Here is a 19,574-nt window from a genome sequence, read left to right as displayed (position 1 = left end):
GGCTCACGATTGTAATCCCAGCACTTTGAGAGGCCAAGGTGGGCGGATCACTTGAGGTCTGGAGTTCCAGACCAGCCTGGCCTAGCCAACATGGAGAAACCCCATCTGTACTAAAAATACAAAATTAGCTGGGCATGGTGGTGCATGTCTATAATCCCAGCTACTCGGGAGGCTGAGGCAGGAGAATCACTTGAACCCGGGAGGCGGAGGTGGCAGTGAGCCGAGATTGCATCACTGCACTCCAGCCTGGGTGACAGAGCAAGATCCTGTCTCAAAAAAAAAAAAAAAAAAAAAAAAAGTTTGGTAAAATTTAGCAGTAAAGTCATTCAGTCCTGGGCTTTTATTTGCTGGAAGACTTTTTATTACAGCTTAGATCTCATTACTTGTTATTTGTCTGTTTAGGTTTTGGATTTCTTCATGGTTTAATCTTGGTAGGTTGCATGTGTCTGATCTTTATTATTTATTTTCTTCTACTAATTTTGGGTTTGATTTGCTCTGGCTTTTCTAGTTCTTTAAGATGTATCATTAAGTTGTTTATTGAAACTTTTTCTACCTTTTTGATGTAGATGCTCAGAGCTATAAGCTTTCTTGTACTGCTTTCACTGTATCCCATTGGCTTTTGTATGTTTTGTTTTCATTATCATTTGTTTCAGGAAATATTTTAATTTTCTTCTTAATTTCTTCATCAATCCGCTGGTCATTCAGGAGCATATTCTTTAATTTCCAGGTATTTGTATCGTTTCAAAAATTCCGCTTTTTGGCCAGGCATGATGGCTCATGCCTGTCATCCCAGCACTTTGGGAGGCCGAGGCGGGTGGATCACTTGAGGTCAGAAGTTCGAGACCAGCCTGGCCAACATGGTGAAACCCTGTCTCTACTAAAAATACAAAAATTAGCCAGGAGTGGTTGCAGGCACCTGTAGTCCCAGCTAGTTAGGAGGCTGAGGCAGGAGAATCGCTTGAACCCGGGAGTCGGAAGTTGCAGTGAGCCAAGATCACGCCATTTGTACTCCAGCCTGGGGTACAAGAGCGAAACTTCGTCTCAAAAAAAAAAAAAAAATCCACTTGTTGTTGATTTCTAGTTTTGTTTCATTGTGGTCAGAGAAGATAGATACATGATATAATTTTACTTTTTTTGAATTTTTCAAGACTTGCTTTGTGGAGTAACATATGGTCTGTCCTTGAGAATGATCCTCATGCTAAGGAGAATGTATATTCTGTGGCTGTTGGATGAAATGTTCTGTAAATATTTATGAGGTCCCATTTGGTCTATAGTGCAGATTAAATCTGATTTTTCTTTGTTGATTTTCTGTCTAGGTGATCTGTCCAGTGCTGAAAGTGAGGAGTTGAAGTCTCCAGGATTGGGGTCTATCCCTGTCTTTAGCTCTAACAATATCTGCTTTATATATCTGGTTGCTCCAGTGTTGGGTGCATCTGTATTTACAATTGTTATATTCTCTTGCTGAATTGACCCCTTTATCATTACATTATGACCTTTTCTGTGCCTTTTTATAGTTTTTGTCTTGAAATCTATTTTGTCTGATACAAGTATAACTGCTACTGCTCTTTTTTTGTTTTTGTTTTTGTTTTAATTGGCATGGAATATCTGTTTCCATCCCCTTGTTTTTTCTGTGTATGTCTATGTGTACCTTTATACATGAAGTGTGTTTCTTGTAGTCAACAGATCATTGGGTTCTGTTTTTTTGTTTTTTTATTTGTTTGTTTTTTGGTCCATTCAGCCACTCCATGTCTTTCGATTGGGCAGTTTAGTTCATCTGCATTCACTGTTATTGTTAATAAGTAGGGACATACTCCTGCCATTTTGTTATTTTTTTGTGATTGTTTTGTGGTCTTCTCTTCCTTCTTTCCTTCCTGTTTCTGCTTAATGAACATGATTTTCTCTGGTGATAGGTTTTAATTTCTTGCTGCTTATTTTTTGGGTATCTATCTGTTGTATGTCTTTTGATTTGAGGTTACCATGAGGCTTGCAAATAATATCCTCTAACCCGTTATTTTAAACTGATGATGACTTAACAGTGATGGCATTAACAAACTAACAAACAAGCAAAGAGAAAACTAATACAAACTCTACACTTTAACTTAGTCCCCTGCATCTTAACTTTTCGTTGCTTCTATTTATAATCTTACTGCCTCTTGGAAAGTATTATAGTTGTTATTTTTGATCAGTTCTTTTAGTCTCTCTACCCAAGATATGAATAATTTATACACTGCAATTGCAGTGTTACAGTAGTGTTTTTCAGTGTACTTACCATTACCCTATGGCCACCACCCTGGAACTGTGCTGAGTCAGACCTCTGAACCCTTAGAACCTTCTTGTGCTTGAATATTGGTATCTTTTTCTAGATTTGGGAAGTTCTGTATTATTACCCTTTGAGTAAACTTTCTACCCCTATCTCTCTTTCTGCCTGCTCTTTAAGGCTAATAACTCTTAGATACTCTCTTTTGAGGCTATTTTCTAGATCTTATATGCATGTTCCATTCTTTTTAATTCTTTTTTGTCTCCTATGACTGTATTTTCAAATAGTCTGTCTTCAAGCTCACTAATACTTTCTTTTGCTTGAACATTTCTGCTGGTAAGAGACCCTGATGCATTCTTCAGTATGTCGGTTGCATTTTTCAACTCCGGAATTTCAGCTTGATTCTTTGTACTTATTTCAGTCTTTTTGTTAAATTTATCTGATGGGATTCTGAATTCCTTCTTTGTTTTATCTTGAATTTCTTTGATTTTCCTCAAAACAGCTATTTTAAATTCTCTGTCTGAAAGGTCTTATATCTCTGTCTCTCCAGGATTGGTCCCTGGGGCCTTATTTAGTTTCTTTGGTGAGATTATGTTTTCCTGAATGGTCGTGATGTTTGTGGTTGTTTGTTGGTGTCTGGGCATTGAAGAGTTAGGTATTTATTGTAGTCATTGCAGTCTGGGCTTGTTTGTACCTGTCATTTTTGGAAAGGCTTTCCAGGTATTCGAAGGGACTTAGGTGTTGTGATTTAAGTTTTTGGTCACTGTAGCCATATCTGTATTAGGAGGCATCCGAAGCCCAGTAATACTGTGGCTCTTGCAGACTCTTAGAGGAACCATGTTGGTGGTTTTGGGTAAGATGTGGAAGAATTATCTGTATTATAATGCAGAGGCTCTGTTCTCTTCCCTTTCTCCCAAACAAATGGAGTCTCTCTGCGCTGAGCTGCCAGGGAGAGGGTGGGGAGGGGTTACACAATCACCCTTGTAGCCACCACCACTGGAACTGTGCTGGGTCAGACCTGAAGCCAGCACAGCACTGGGTCTCAATGCTGCCAGGCTTGGGACTCTCCCTTCAGGGCAGTGGGCTCCTCTCTGGCCCAGAGCAGGTCCAGAAATGCCATCCAAGAACCAGGACCTGGAATTGGGGACCCCCAAGAGCCTGCTTGGTGCTGTACCCCACCATGGCCAAGCTGATATATATCACTAAGCTGATTGTTGGTTCTTATGAAGGTGCTTTTCTGTGCGAATGGTTGTTCAAATTGGTGTTCCTGCAGAGAGGACAATCGGTGGAGGCTTCTATTTGGCCCTTCTCTGCCTCCCCCTGTTTTATTTTTAATTGACACATAATAATTGTACATACTTATGGGATGTTTTGGTACGTATATGCAATGTGTAATGATCAAATTAGGGTAATTAGTATGTACATCTCCTCAAACATTTGTCATTTCTCTATGGTGAGAACATTCAAAATCATCTCTTCTAGCTATTTTGAAATATGCAGTATGTTATTGTTAACTATAGTCAGTCTACTGCATGGTGGGAACATTTTCACTCTTCAGTGCTGCTTTTGGATAAGCAAAAGGTCTTAATTTCTTGTATTTGATGTAGTCCAGTGTATCTAGTTTTTTCTTTATTGTTAGTGTGGTTTTTAGTGTGGCCTATCGAAAAAGTCTTTGACTAGATTATGAAGATAATATCTTCTATTAGCTTTTAGAAATTTTGTTTTAATCAACTTAGATTATGATACCTAGTGTTTGGGCCCTTATTCCTCCCATTATGTTTTTATATTTTCTGTATATAAAGCTTCTTTGCTTTCGTGTATTGCACAGGTAAGTTCTAGTTTATTTCCGACATTTCTTTTCAGACAGAGTAAATGAGGAAAATAAACTATACTTAATTTGTCTCTTTCATGTGGTTGCTAGGAATCTTGCGTGGATTCAACCCATATAGTTTATTATCTTGTCTCCTTAGGAGTTGGTTTGCAGTAAGCTGCTTCTACATGAAAAATTCAAAGATTAATCTGAATTACTATCTTTGTACAGATTTTTTAAAATGATTTTTAAAACAGATTTTCTCCTAGAACTCCTGGGCTCAGGCGATCCTCCCACCTCAGTCTCCCAAGTAGCTGGGACTATAGACTTGTGTCACCACACCCAGCTGATTTTTGTATTTGAGACAGGGTTTCACCATGTTGGCTAAGCTGATCTCAAACTCCTGAGCTCAGGCAATCTGCCTGCCTCAGCCTCCCAAAGTGCTGAGATTACAGGCATGAACCACTACACCTGGCCTATTTTAAAGATAATTATATCATTTATTTTTTAAATTATAATTTCTAAATAGCACTTCAACATTTAAACATCTTAGCACATTTGCTTTATCTCTGTCCACACAAACACACATATACTCTGTATTTTTGGTCAATTATTTGAAAGAAAGCGGCAGCTGTTTCTTTCTCCTACATGAACTTACTGCAACATGAAAATATCTTGAGTGTGTAAATAAAATTATTTATTTCATTGTTTTCTAGATCTAGAACTAATCTAGCAGATATGCATTATCAGGTGCCAAAGATTTAATATTTATTTGTTTATTAAATAACTACTTTAGAAACCCTGAAATATGGGAGGTGACTAGAGTACATTTGAGAGTGGGACAAGTACAGTAAGTCAAACTGTACTTTGAGTAGTACAGAAGTTTTACTGGCCCATCTGGTACTTCATCTATTTTCCTTGTCAAATCCTAGGCCACTTTGAATTACAAAATATGAAAATATAATTTTTATTTTAAGCTAGACAATATATTAAGTCAGATACTACATGTGTTAAATTTGTGTGTTTATTAAATATTTATGCCTTAAATACCTGTAAGGTTAAAGCATGTTTTAATGAGTAGACAATTACTAAATATATGAGTTACTACCATTGCAAGGCACGAACATCAGGTAAGTTAAAACTAAGCTTTGTTAGAGTACTTGAATTCCTTAAAAACTTAGTTTTCTGTGAAAATAGAGTTTGGCTCCATTAAGTTTAAAAGTAATTTTATTAAACACTTTGCAGTGTCTGGCACATATGGACCACTTAATACTTGCCTTAATTAACTAAAGGCTCTCACCTTTAATGTGGTTAGAAAGAGCACTCAGTGCCGGGCGCGGTGGCTCACACCTGTAATCCCAGCACTTTTGGAGGCTGAAGCAGGCGGATCACGAGGTCAGGGGATTGAGACCATCCTGGCTAACAAGGTGAAACCCCGTCTCTACTAAATATACAAAAATTAGCCGGGCCTGGTGGCAGGCGCCTGTAGTCCCAGCTACTCGGGAGGCTGAGGCAGGAGAATGGCGTGAACCTGGAGGCAGAGCTTGCAGTGAGCTGAGCTTGTGCCACTGCACTCCAGCCTGGGCAACAGAGCGAGACTCCGTCTCAAAAAAAAAGCACTCAGTAAGGACTTGGATCTGATTTCTAGCTCAAGCTGAGGCTTCATCTCTTTGGCTACTTGTAAATAAGGAATATGCACTAGATTATATCCAATTAGCATTAATATTTTTATTCCATATCTTGTGTTTATTGTGAAAACACTTAATAAAATCTTATCGGATCAGGAAACTTAATACATTAAAAAAACATTTTTTAAAAACTAAATTGTCAATACTGAACAAAAAGACTTCTTTCAATGACTACAGACTTGAACTTTTTTCTCACTTGATAGCTCGAATTACATCTTTACAAGAGGAGGTGAAGCATCTCAAACATAATCTCGAAAAAGTGGAAGGAGAAAGAAAAGAGGCTCAAGACATGCTTAATCACTCAGAAAAGGTAAATGATTTAACATATACCAATTATTATAAAATAGTAATTACTGATTATCATAGACTACTAGGTGGTTTTATAAAATAGCATTTATTCTTAATGTTTATATAGTTACATTTCTAAAAGTTTTTATGTTTGATTGGTTGTATGTGGGGCTGTATGTATGTCTTATTTAGGGTTTTGTTATTTGTTATTTTTGTTTTTACCCTAGAGAGCATTAGATGTTTCATGTTAACAGATCATCACAGATTCCTTTGGTTTGGAAATACCTTTTTATAAAGTATGTTTTCCTATTTTCTTTGTACATGAGTAAGATGAATGTGCTGTGAGGGCTTATGAAGAAGGAAAACAACAGATCAGTACGTGGTAGATGATGAGTACCTGTTCTGTTGTTTTACAGTTAGCAAAATAGAAAAGAGCATAAAGTGATTGGCCTTTGCATTTAGAATTTTCTTAACAATAAAAATTTCATTGGTTATTCTCTGTTATATACCTAGCTAAGAGTTAAATAGATGATATAGAGATACAGCTGTCACTTTTTCAAAGCCTCTGAAATGTTGGAGGTTCAATAGAACCTCAGGTAAATTATCAGAAAAGCCACTACTTATCTTGTCCTTTGGACATGTTTTGTCACAATTAGAATAGTTTTTGATGGCCAAGCTGGTGTAAATGTGGACATAGGATAAAAGAAGCTTGAAGAGTAGAAAAGGGTACCCAAACAGAAATGGAATATATTTTGACTCATTTTTCCTTTCTATATCAATGACTTGCCACAGGATACTTTGTGGGGTTTTTTTGTTTGTTTTTTGTTTTTGTTTTTTTGTGAAAGCAAAGTAAATGTGGATATAGATGCAAATGTAGATAAAGATGATTTAATATATTTTTTTAAAGTGGTAGCAGGCCAGGCAAGGTGGCTCATGCCTGTAGACCCAACACTTTGGGAGGCTGACACAGGAGGATTGCTTGAGCCCAGGAATTTGAGAATAGCCTGGGCAGTGGAGCGAGACCCCATCTCTACAAAAAAATGCTTAAAAATTAGCCAGGTGTGGTGGCATATGCCTGTAATACTAGCCACTCCAGAGGCTAAGGCTGGAGGATAGCTTGAGCCCAGGAGTTCAAGGCTGCAGTGAGCTGAGAAGGTGCCACTGCACTCCAGCCTGGGTGACAGAGTGAGACCTCATCTCTTTAAAAAAAAAAGAAAAGAAAAAAAAAGATGGTATCAGAAATTTTTAAATAAACTGAAAATTTGTCTTATTCATTTCCGATCTTAGCAATGAACTGTCCTGAACATAACCACCAGCACAGCCTTGTTCTGCCCTCCGCCATGATTAATGATTCAAATGGGAAGGGAGGGGGTAAAGAAAAGATTATCTTTTGCTTTTAATTATATGTGTTTATTGTGATTTTTAAAATAAGGCATCATATCTCTTCCAGAATATTAAATGTAAGATTTACTAACATGCATGCCTTCTGCACAGTTTATTACATGACTCCTACTCCCATTTTACAGGAAAAGAATAATTTAGAGATAGATTTAAACTACAAACTTAAATCATTACAACAACGGTTAGAACAAGAGGTAAATGAACACAAAGTAACCAAAGCTCGTTTAACTGACAAACATCAATCTATTGAAGAGGCAAAGTCTGTGGCAATGTGTGGTAAGTGTCAGTTTTAATATTTTTACAAAATTGACTTTAAATAGTGACTAGAAAAAATTTGGTTTTGGTCAAAATTTTGTACTCTTTAACTCGTAGAAAGTATAATATAAATTATAGGCCTGGCACAGTGGCTCATGCCTGTAATCCCATCACTTTGGGAGGCTGAAGCCAATGGGTCACTTGAGGCCGGGAGTTTGAGACCAGCCTGGCCAATGTGGTGAAACCCCGTCTCTACTAAAAATAAAAAAATTAGCCAGGTGTGTGTCGCACGCCTGTAATCCCAGCTACTGGGGAGGCTGAGGCAGGAGAATCGCTTGAACCCAGGAGGCAGAGGTTGCAGTGAGCCGAGATGGTGTCACTGTTCTCCAGCCTGGGCAACAGAGTGAGACTGTGTCTCAGAGAAAGAAATTATAAATTATAATCAAGAAGAGGATGCCTTCCTTTTGATACTTTCCTTTTTTTTTTTTTTTTTTTTTTTTTTTGAGACGAAGTTTTGCTCTTGTCTCCCATGCTGGAGTGCAATGGTGTGATCTTGGCTCAATGCAGTCTCTGCCTCCAGGTTCAAGCAATTCTCCTGCCTCAGCCTCCCGAGTAGCTGGGATTACAGGCACCCGACACCATGCCCGGCTAATTTTTGTATTTTTAGTAGAGACAGCGTTTCACTATGTTGGACAGGCTGGTCTCGAACTCCTGACTTCGGCCTCCCAAAGTGCTGGGATTACAGGCATGAAACACCATGCCTGGCAATGCTTTCCATTTTTTAAGATCACAATTTCACCTTCTAGTTCCCTCAGTTTACTACTCTGTTTCCTATAAAAGTTAGTGGAATCTGTCTTTTCTCTGTTTTTTAGTAGCCCTTTCCTTGATTTTCTTTATGATCCACTCTGGACCTCATCATCTGCTAATTCATCTGCTATCTTGCTTTGTACCCTCAGTTTTCTCATTTCTTTGTACTTCCACTGTGTTATGCCTCCAAACACAACCCTAGTTCAGACCAGCCAGCCACTTTCTTCAGGCAGTTGAGTGTTAGTCCAATGCATTATCTGCAACCTGAGTTGTCAATTTTTTTTCAATTTTTAAAAATTATTTATTTTTGGTAGAGAAAGAGTCTCACTATGTTGTCCAGGCTGGTCTTGAGCTCCTGGGCTCAAGGGATCCTTCCACCTCGGCCTCCCAAAGTGCTGGGATTACAGGCATGAGCCACCATGCTTGGCTGTCAATTTTTTTTGAACATATCGGTCATAAGTTTCTTCTCCCAGATTTTTATTTATCTTAAGTTTCCTGTGCCGTTTCTTTATCACTCCAGTTTTAGGTGAATTTTATTCTTATTTCACAAGTAAATAATGAAAGCATAGGTGTGAACTCCTCAAAATCTAGTTTTCTTGTCAATCTATCCTATTCTTTACCTGTCTTCATTATCTTCACTGTTATCTTAAAGGAGGGTAAGCTCCTCTCATCTCATCTTAACTTCTTTTCTCTTTTTCTTTTCTATATCAACCTTTTTACCTCCATTATCTTCTTACTGTAAACATGAACAAGTCTCCCATCTTAAAACAGAGACAAATCCATGCAGCAATCTGTCATCCTTACTAATTACTACTGTTTTATTTCAAATAAATTAATAAAATAGTCAAACTTCAATGGTGTCAGATTCTTTATAGAAAAAAATTAAAAAATATCCAAACTTCTAAAAGTCTTTTCCTCACCTTCTGCTTATTCTTAACCTACTACAGTCTGGATGTGTTGGCATCTTAAATTATTTTTGCTCAAAAGAAAGCTCATAATCTCATCCATCAAACCTGCTCTTATTCTTTATTCTCACTAACCTAGTTAATGGCCATATGGTCTTTATGAGCTAAGGCTTTGGAATCAGACAGATCAATGTTGCTCTGTAACTATTCTAAGTTAGATGAAAAATGCATGTAAAGTGCCTGTGCATAGAAAGTTTTCAGTAGCTATTATCTTGGCTACTGAACATCACATCATCATCTTGCCAAGAGTTGTTCTACTCATCAGTCATTCTCACTTAGGTTAGAACAATTTTCCTTTTTAGTCAAATCGTATTTTGGTTGTCCTTAAAATCCTTTAGTGGCTTTTCATTGTTTGCAGGGTACCTTTCAAACTCCTTGTATATATAGAATCTTTAAGTTGACACCTGCCTGTCTTTACAATCTTACTACCCTACACTTTGTTGTGTGTACCCTGTGCTTCAGCCATATTGAGCTTCTTTTATTTCCTTCACTTAAGTTAATTATTGACTGCCTACAGACAAGGCACAGCTGGGAATATCGCAGAGAATAAAACTGACAGGAAGCCCGGAGATTACATTCAGATAGTGAATATAGACAAAAAAAAATAATAATACATAAATGAAAATACATACAGCTTGTAATTATTAATGGGAAGGAAATACATATTAATATGATTGTTTTGACTTGGCACTGCCCTGGATGGGGGTTCTGAGGAAGGCTTTCTGAGCTAGTAATATTTGAGGTAAGAACTGAAAGTCAAAATGAACCACCTGTTAAATGAGCTGGAGAAAGTGCATTACAGGCAGAAGTGATAGTAAGTTCAGTATTCTTATTCTAAGATTTGTATTAAGCCACTAGCACATTTTAAGCTTCTGGGATGTGTAATTTATATTTTTAAAAGATCATTCCCGCTGCTCTGTGGGGAATGCTTTCAAGAGTGAGAACAGTGATAAAAAGGGAGATCAGTTAGAAAGCTATACGCTGTAAACACTGGTAGTAGTAGAGAGGGAAAGAAGTCGAGGTATAGAGGAGAAGAGTGATGAATTGGATAGAAAGAGGCCGGGTGCGGGGACCCACACCTGTAATGCTAGCACTTTGGGAGGGCAAGGCAGGCAGATTATTTGAGGTCAGGAGTTTGAGACCAGCCTGGGCAACATGGTGAAACCCCCATCTCTACTGAAAAATACAAAAATTAGCTGCGTGTAGTGGTGCGTACCTGTAATCTCAGCTACTCAGGAGACTGAGGCAGGAGTATTCTTAGAATCCAGGAGGCGGAAGTTGCAGTGAATCGAGATTGCACCACTGTATTCCATCCTGGGCAACAGAGCGAGACACCATCTCAAAAAAAGAAAAAAAAAAGACTGAGTCTAACTGGGGTTGGAGTGGTTTGGGGATAGGCCAGAAGTAAAGGCATCTATTGTGGATATGTTAACTTTAATAAGATTATTAGATATCTAGGTGGAGATGTTAAATAGTCAATTGGTATCTAAGTCTGGAGCTCAGGAGAGAGATACCAAGAGTCAGAAGAACATAGTGGATGGATTTGTGTTTGATTAAACAGAAGGGTCTTAAGAGGTGACAGTTTTATTGGTGCAGCTAAGTTTGTAAGTTTGGGGGGAAAGATAAGGAATAGTTTATTTATATTTATTTAATAGTTTATATTTTGTCACCTAGAGGGTGGTCTCCAAGAGTGGGAAAGCACACTTTAAATAAACTTGAATCCTTATGGGGCAACTTACTAGTTACATGAACATGGAAAAGTTAACCTCTCAGAAGCTTAGTTATATTTCAAAAAAGGAGCCTCAGTGTAGACTAATATATTCCAGTAATAATTAAAAGAGGTATACTACTGTGGAATCTTATTCATCTGAATTGTATAAATTGGAGTTCCTACCATAGCCTTAAGCCTCTTCAACCTTTTCTGGAACAATGCAGGGTATAAATTAATAACCACAGCCTTATTTTTCTGCTTTTGCTTGATGTATGTTCATTGTTCTTTGTTAATTCACTTCCTTTCTAGCTATACTCTTCACCTTCTTGTCTGAAAGTGGTACCGATTAATCTCTCATCACTGGGCAAGAGCTGGGTTTAGAAGATTTTATTACTGTATTATATTTTATAACTCCTTTTCTTTAGAGATTTCTGCTATATAAATAGTTTACATAATGTGAGAATTTCTATAATTACTAGCTCTATTCAAGTCCCAGAATAAAAACAATAGAGACATTTGAAACCAGTTTACAGCCCATATAAAGTGAAATGTGTTAAAGTACTCTTTCTTTAAATGTATGTTTGTAACTTTTTGCTTTCCCAGAGATGGAAAAAAAGCTGAAAGAAGAAAGAGAAGCTCGAGAGAAGGCTGAAAATCGGGTTGTTCAGATTGAGAAACAGTGTTCCATGCTAGACGTTGATCTGAAGCAATCTCAGCAGAAACTAGAACATTTGACTGGAAATAAAGAAAGGATGGAGGATGAAGTAAGAAAAATAGTACTGACTTTGTTCATCTATTAAAAGAGAAACGGTTATATAAGTTATGACTGGAGTTATCTATAATTTAAACACCATGAAGGAGATTTGAATGAAATAATTGACATGGGTCTGTGTTCACTGCTGTATGGTCACCCCAGCACCTAGAATTTTCCTCTTCAAATAGTTATTGAACATTCACTCTGTGTGATCTATGCCATTTTTCACTATGACAGTACAACTATATTGAAATGTCATAGTTCCTTCCCTGAAAAAACTGACCATCTGCTTTAAAGAAAAAAAAAGTCTTTATTATAATGCATCTTATATCCCCAAAGAAAAGAGCATTGCTCTTAGATTTCAATAAAAGTGTTTAACTGCAGTCTTTCCTGGCTTAGATTGATAGCACAGGGTATACATTTTATAAAGCAGTTAATAAACAGATAAAATGACAGTATGTCCTGGTGGTTACTATATGTACTTTAGAAATTATTTCTAAGACTGAAAGTAGGAAAGCCTTTTCAAGAAGATGTAACATGTTACCTAGATTTTAAAGGTTGAGTAAGACTTCAAAAGGTAATAGTTTTGGAGTCAGGGCTTTACTTGCTAGAGGGAATATTATCAGTAAAGAGATGGATAATAAAGTGAGTACCGGCTGGATAAGAAGATGCATAAGGAAGGCATAAAAAGGAACTTGATAGAACTTTAACTTTTTGAAGGAAAAACGAAGACATGTTGAGTAGTCATGGGAGAAATTTGTAGGCCAAAGTATCGATACTCTTTAAAACTTCCATGGGTGGCCAGGCACGTTGGCTGACACCTGTAATCCCAGCACTTCGGGAGGCTGAGGTGGGCAGATGGGCACATTGCTTAAGCTCAGGAGTTTGAAACCAGCCTAGGCAACATGGTGAAACCCCATCTCAAATACAAAAATCAGCTAGGTGTGGTGTCGCATGCCTATAGTTCCAGCTACTCAGGAGGCTGAGGTGGGAGGATTCCTTGCACCTCAGGAGGTCGAGGCTGCAGTGAGCCAAGATTGCTCCATGGCACTCAGCCTGGACATCAGAGTGAGACCCTATCTCTAAAAAATAAAAAATAAAACTTGCATGGGAGCTATAGGTGAAAGCACTTTTAGAAAAATCAATCTGGTAGTGGTATATAGAATGGACTAGAAAGAAGAGAAATTAGAGATACCTATTAAAGCTAGCATGCAGGAGGAATGTATGTTCAAAATTTGAAAGATAATATTCAGTCATTTAAAAAACATAATTTTTGACTACCTATTTGGCTCTGTGCTAGGAATTGGGGGTTACCGAAGTGAATAAGATATAGGTATGGTCCTGACTGTGTTGGAACTTACAGCCAGGAGGGAAAAACAGATATTAAAATAGTAACTACAAGCATTGCAAATAATTAGAAAGAAAGTACGGAATGCTATAGGGGTGTATTACTAATCACATTTGGGAGTTACAGAAGGCCTTGCTAAGAGTATGACATTTGAGAGCTGAAGAATGAATAAATGAAGGAGGATAAAACAGGAGTAGTGCGTACAAGAAATGTGAGGTGAGGGAGAATTTGTTGCATTTGAGGATCTGAAGAATATGATTGGATTGTAGAGAATGGCCAATGATAGGAATAGAATTAGAACAGATCATGAAGGCCATTGTAAACCACTGTATGAATTTTGAGTTCATTGGTCCCAACACCTAATAAACACTTCAGAAATATTTGTTGAGTTGAATAAAACATACGTTCAGTTTGTTTGGTTAAGCTTTGAAGGGTTGTAGAGTAGAGCACGTAGACAGGTAAATTTAAGTACTCCATTCAAATGTTCCCCCAGGAATGGCTTTTTTTTTTTTGGAGACAGAGTCTCACTGTCACTCAGGCTGGAGTGCAGTGGCGTGATCTCGGCTCACTGCAACCTCTGACTCGTAGGCTCAAGTGATCCTCCCATGTAGCTGGGACTACAGGAGTGTACCACCATGCCTGGCCAATTTTTGTATTTTTTTGTAGAGACAGGGTTTCACCATGTTGACCAGGCTGGTCTCAAACTCTGGGTTCAAGCAATCCACCTGCCTCAGCCTCCCAAAGTGCTGGGATTACAGACATAAACCACTGTGCCTGGCCCAGAAGTGAGTTTTATAATCACCTTGTACTACAGAATTTTCATGCTGATTGGGGTAGAAAGGAACCAGAATTTTTTTCCCTCCACAAGATCTCATGTCTGAAATTTGGGAATTAATTTGACTTAATAGTAAATCTACTGTAATAAACACGTGGAACAATGAAGACTCTTTAAAATACTAATATTTTCTACTAGTACCATGAATTATAATGTACTTGATTTGGTTAGTAGTCTTTCAAATAATGTCTAATAAATTATTTAAGAGATTTAAGATCCCAATTATTTTTCTCATTCATAGGTTAAGAATCTAACCCTGCAACTGGAGCAGGAATCAAATAAGCGGCTGTTGTTACAAAATGAATTGAAGACTCAAGCATTTGAGGCAGACAATTTAAAAGGTTTAGAAAAGCAGATGAAACAGGAAATAAATACTTTATTGGAAGCAAAGAGATTATTAGAATTTGAGTTAGCTCAGCTTACGAAGTAAGTCTTTAAAATAACATTGTGATTTCTTTCTTTTTTGTGTTCATCATTGACTTGTGTGTTTGACATTTTACATATGTACAGATTATGTACTTAGAGTTTGTGAAAGACAGAAAAAAAGTATTTAGAAGTAAAAGAATTTACTTGCAAAGGTTTTCAGGGGAGTTCAGGCTTTGGAAAGACCACAGTTTTCTCATCTGATTTTCATGTCCACAAAAGTCATCACATTTCTTCAGGTTAGAATTACAAAAATCACGGTGCCTTGTAGGAGATGTTCAAGGTTTATTTCAGAGGCTAGAATTAGACATGACACTTTGTTCGTTTTGTTTTGTGTCTTTGGTTCATCTCAAAATGCAAAAATGTCTTTTTTCTTTTTCTGTTACTCTTGGGATGTGATATGCCTCCTTATTTGAAATGGAGAACAAGCAAGATCAGGAACGCTTTCACAATTTGTCGAAGAATATGCTTCACAAGTTTAATATCAAAAGTGGATATATCTTATGCCAAGTCTTGTGTTTTTATTTCCTCCACGTTTATTTTATCATATCATCACTTGCTAGCTTCATTTACAAAAGTGATTCTTGGATTAAATTGTCAGTTTTCATAAAATTGGATTTATATTGGTGAAATTCTTTTCCTCTTTTAGGGCCACCGTTTTCGCAAAAGTGTGTTTTATATTTTTTTTCTCCAAAAATACTCTCGCTCAGCATTCAGTGGAGATTGGTGTAGACTTTCTGTCAGCCACATGCCTTTTGAGATACTGAGAATACAAAGCTATTACTGTCTAATATGAAAGTCTAGCCGCTAGATTTTCAAGCCTAGCTGCTAGGCTTTCATATTATACAGTAAATAATTATTGAAAATCTGTGTCTTTGGGTTACATTGGGTTTCCATCTTTTGGACTCTGCTCCTATGTGAGTTGTGTTTATGTATGTATTATATACATGCAGTTGTCTATCTGCGTTCCTCCTTGTTTGTCAGTTTGTTGTTCTTGCTTTCCCTTCTTACCTGATGGTTCATTTCCACCAGCCCCTTTCTTGTGCTTAATTGGCCATAATATCTAGTATGCAGTACTGAATTATTACTTATTAAATATAGTACTATGATATGTAGCACTGAATTATTATTAAATTTTTCATGCCCCCCTCTTTTTTTATTTACTGTACAAGACATTTTCTTCCCTATGACTGCTTTTCTCTGTAAAAATTTACCAAAAATATGGTATCAATTTTATTTTTTCATTTTGGATAGATCCACAATTAATATTCTCCAAAAAGTGATCATCAGTAGAAAAGGGTTCTCACTACTTTTGCATAGCGTCATTTTATAAGGAGCAAGATAGAACCGGTGTGGCCTGACCAAGTTAATTAGTAAAATAATGAATAATGAAGTATGTTTTTAAAAAATAAAGATTGTTTTAGTAAACTTTTTTATATTAGCAACTTTAACAAACTAAGAAAAAATGAAGTCTAGTATAAGTAGGAGCGTTTGTTCACTTGTTTTTCTTTTCATCTGAAGACAGTATAGAGGAAATGAAGGACAGATGCGGGAGCTACAAGATCAGCTTGAAGCTGAGCAATATTTCTCGGTAAGTGAGAATCATTTTTAACATACACACTGTTTCAAAACCTGACTTAAAACAAGGTATTTAGATTCTTTTATGTGAACTGTAATTCTTTTTCAAATGACTCTTCATCTTCTAATAAACATTGTGACTTTTCTGCTTTTTGTTTGTCCATTTGTTTCTTGGCATATTAGGCTATCATTGGTATATGTTTTTAAATTGTAAAAACTTTTCAGGCCAGGTGCGGTGGCTCACACCTGTCATCCCAGCACTTTGGGAGGCCGAGGCGAGTGGATCACTTGAGGTCAGGAGTTCAAGACCAGCCTGGCCAACATGGTGAAACCCCGTCTCTACTACAAATACAAAAATTAGCCGATTGTGGTGGCAGGCACCTGTAGTCGCAGCTACTCAGGAGGCTGAGGCAGGAGAATTGCTTGAGTCCAGTAGTTGGACATTATAATAAGCCAAGGTCATCTGTGCTGCAGCCTGGGTGACAGCAAGACTCTGTCTCATAAACAAAATGAAAGACTTTTAAATATTGTTGAAAACTCTTTCCCTGAGTGTTTGCTAAACGTAATTATTCAAAGTATCTACTGCTAACTTCTGCAAAGTGATCGGTAGCATCCCATATGCTTTCTTGCCATATGCTTCCACAGAGCAGTCATCCAGTGCCTCCAAATGTTTGGATGGGTGTCAAATGACTTGTGGTGATTCTTGTGGATTTTTGATTTTGCTTCTAGAAAATAGTACAAAACCTGACCCTATCTCAGTTCTGATTTATTCCATTGCTTGTGGGCATTGGATTAAATAGCATTCAATTCAATAAGCTGTTATGAACCAAATTTTAAGATTTGTCTTTTTTCTGGGTTTTCAAATCAGATTATTTTTCTTTTTATCCCTTCATTGATTTACTTATTTGAATTTCAGTATTTGAAGTCAGAGAGATAAGAATCTGAGTCCTAAAGGCCAAATAGATTAATTTTAGAAATTATAAATACTTAACCTAGAGTAAGCCCTTATTCTTTTTTCATTTGCATTCCCATGGACATTTATGTATTTTTTTGCCTAGGAAAGTGCTGTTTCTTAGTGTAATAAATAAGTGTTAAAAGTAGTTCTCCACAGCTGTTTCCTGGCCCTTGCTATTTCTTTCCCTTCTCTTTTTCTTTTAAAATGAAGAGGGTAGTTAAAAAGAAATAGACATCAGAACTGGAAGTTCACTCTGTAACTTCAGCAACTAACACAATATGAGTCTGATGTGTTAAATATTTTTCACTGGCGTTGGCAAAAGCTTAGTGAATTTTGTAAGAGCCATTGTTCTGAAATAAGCATATATTATAGATATGTTAGCAGAATACTTGATAAATCTTATTTGTGGATATTTCTTTTTTTTTTGAGACGGAGTTTCACCCTCTTGCCCAGGCTGGAGAGCAAGTGGCACGATCTTGGCTCACTGCAAGCTCTGCCTCCCGGGTTCACGCCATTCTCCTGCCTCAGCATCCCGAGTAGCTGGAACTACAGGCGCCCGCCACCATGCCTAGCTAATTTTTTGTACTTTTAGTAGAGACGGGGTTTCACCATGTTAACCAGGATGGTTTCGATCTCCTGACCCCATGATCTGCCCGCCTCGGCCTCCCAAAGTGCTGGAATTACAGGCGTGAGCCACTGCGCCCGGCCCTTTTGTGGATATTTCTTTACCTGTCTCTCAACTACCCAGTACATCCCACCCCTCAAAACAGAAGTGATTTTTCTAACATTAGTCAAGAATTGATCTAACCTTTAAATTAGTAATATGTGTTAAATTTCTTTATAACGTCTTCCCAAATCTATAATACACTTTATTAAGCTATAATGTCTTTTTTTTTTTTTTTTTTGAGATGGAATCTCACTCTGTCGCCCAGGCTGGAGAGTAGTGGCATGATCTTGGCTCACTGCAACCTCCCACTCCTGGGTTCAAGCGATTCTCCTGCCTCAGCCTCCTGAGTAGCTGGGATTACAGTAGCATGCCACCACGCCCAGCTAATTTTTTGTATTTTTAGTAGAAACGAGGTTTCACTGTGTTAGCCAGGATGCTCTCAATCTCCTGACCTTGTGATCTGCCCGCCTTGGCCTCCCAAAGTGCTGGGATTACAGGCGTGAGCCACCGCACCTGGCCATTAAGCTATAATTTCTATATAATATACCCATTTTAAGTGTACTGGTTAGTAAATTTTGACAAATATGTACATCTGTGTGACCACCACCACAGTCAACATGTGGAACATTTTTTTTTCACTGCAAAAAGTTCCCTTATGGCCCTTCACTCTACATTTTCCCCACCCACCTCTATACACAGACAATGACTGTTTTTCCATGATTATTGATTATTTTCACCTGTCCTAGAATTTCATCTACATGGAGTCACAGTATACACTCTTTAACACGTGGTTTCTTTCACTCAGCATATTTTTTAGATTTCTTAGATTTACATGTTGTATGTATCAGTAGTTCATTCCTTTTTATTGCTGAGTAATATGAATTAACCACAGTTTTGTTTTTTGTTTTTTTTTTAACCCATGTATTGATGGATGTCTGGGTCATTTCCAGTTTGGAGCTGTTATAAATAAAACCATAAGGGAAATTCATGTGTAAGACTAGGTGTTGACATATATTTGCATTTGTCATGGGTAAATACTTGAGAGTGGAATTGTTGGATCATATGTTAATTTTTTAAATTTATAAGAAACTGCCAAATTGTTTTTAACCCACCATAAACACTTATTTCTCCTTGTCACTTGTTTTGCAGACACTTTATAAAACCCAGGTAAAGGAACTTAAAGAAGAAATTGAAGAAAAAAACAGAGAAAATTTAAAGAAAATACAGGAACTACAAAATGAAAAGTATGTCCATTTTACTTTAGAACAAGAATCAGTACTGCAACAGGCATTCTTAAGTTTTAAGTTAGTGAATAGATGTGCCATTATTCTGGTGGGAATGGTATAGAACACAGTTTATTGGGCTAATTCAGAACAAATCAGATTAGGCTGAAATTTGCCTTTATGGTGAAAAAAACAGTGCTATAAATCAACACTGTACCAATTGCAGAGATTCATTAAACTGACAAAAAGTTGGTTTGACAATTGTTTTCAGGGGTATTGCAATTTTTATTTTTTTAATTTTTTTTTTTTGAGATGGAGTCTTGCTCTGTCACTCAGGCTGGAGTGCAGTGGCATGATCTCGGCTCACTGCAACTTCCACCTCCCGGGTTCAAGCGATTCTCCTGCCTCAGCCTCCTGAGTAGCTGGGATTACAGGCGTGCGCCACCACGCTCCGCTAATTTTTGTATTTTTAGTAGAGACAGGGTTTCACCATGTTGGTCAGGTTGGTCTCAAACTCCTGACCTCATATTCCGTCCACCTTGGCCTCCCAAAGTGCTGGGATTATAGGCATTAGCCACCACGCCTGGGCTAGTATCAATTTTAAAAGAT

The 19,574-nt window shown here is 37.4% G+C and overlaps 1 protein-coding gene across 1 annotated transcript in view; it reads left to right on the top strand.

Moving 5' to 3' along the window:
• The window catches only part of ROCK1 (Rho associated coiled-coil containing protein kinase 1), a 164,908-nt gene that overhangs the window by 112,918 nt on the left and 32,416 nt on the right, over positions 1-19,574 (top strand). The window contains exons 17-22 of the mRNA NM_005406.3: positions 5,959-6,065; positions 7,570-7,720; positions 11,786-11,946; positions 14,361-14,545; positions 16,064-16,133; positions 18,892-18,986. Coding sequence (NP_005397.1) covers positions 5,959-6,065; positions 7,570-7,720; positions 11,786-11,946; positions 14,361-14,545; positions 16,064-16,133; positions 18,892-18,986 — 769 coding nt within the window. The remainder of the gene's footprint in view (positions 1-5,958; positions 6,066-7,569; positions 7,721-11,785; positions 11,947-14,360; positions 14,546-16,063; positions 16,134-18,891; positions 18,987-19,574) is intronic.

This window comes from Homo sapiens, chromosome 18 (genome assembly GCF_000001405.40).
Source record: "Homo sapiens chromosome 18, GRCh38.p14 Primary Assembly".
In the NCBI taxonomy this organism is placed as follows: Eukaryota; Metazoa; Chordata; class Mammalia; order Primates; family Hominidae; genus Homo; species Homo sapiens.
This window is presented reverse-complemented; position numbering and strand designations above follow the sequence as displayed.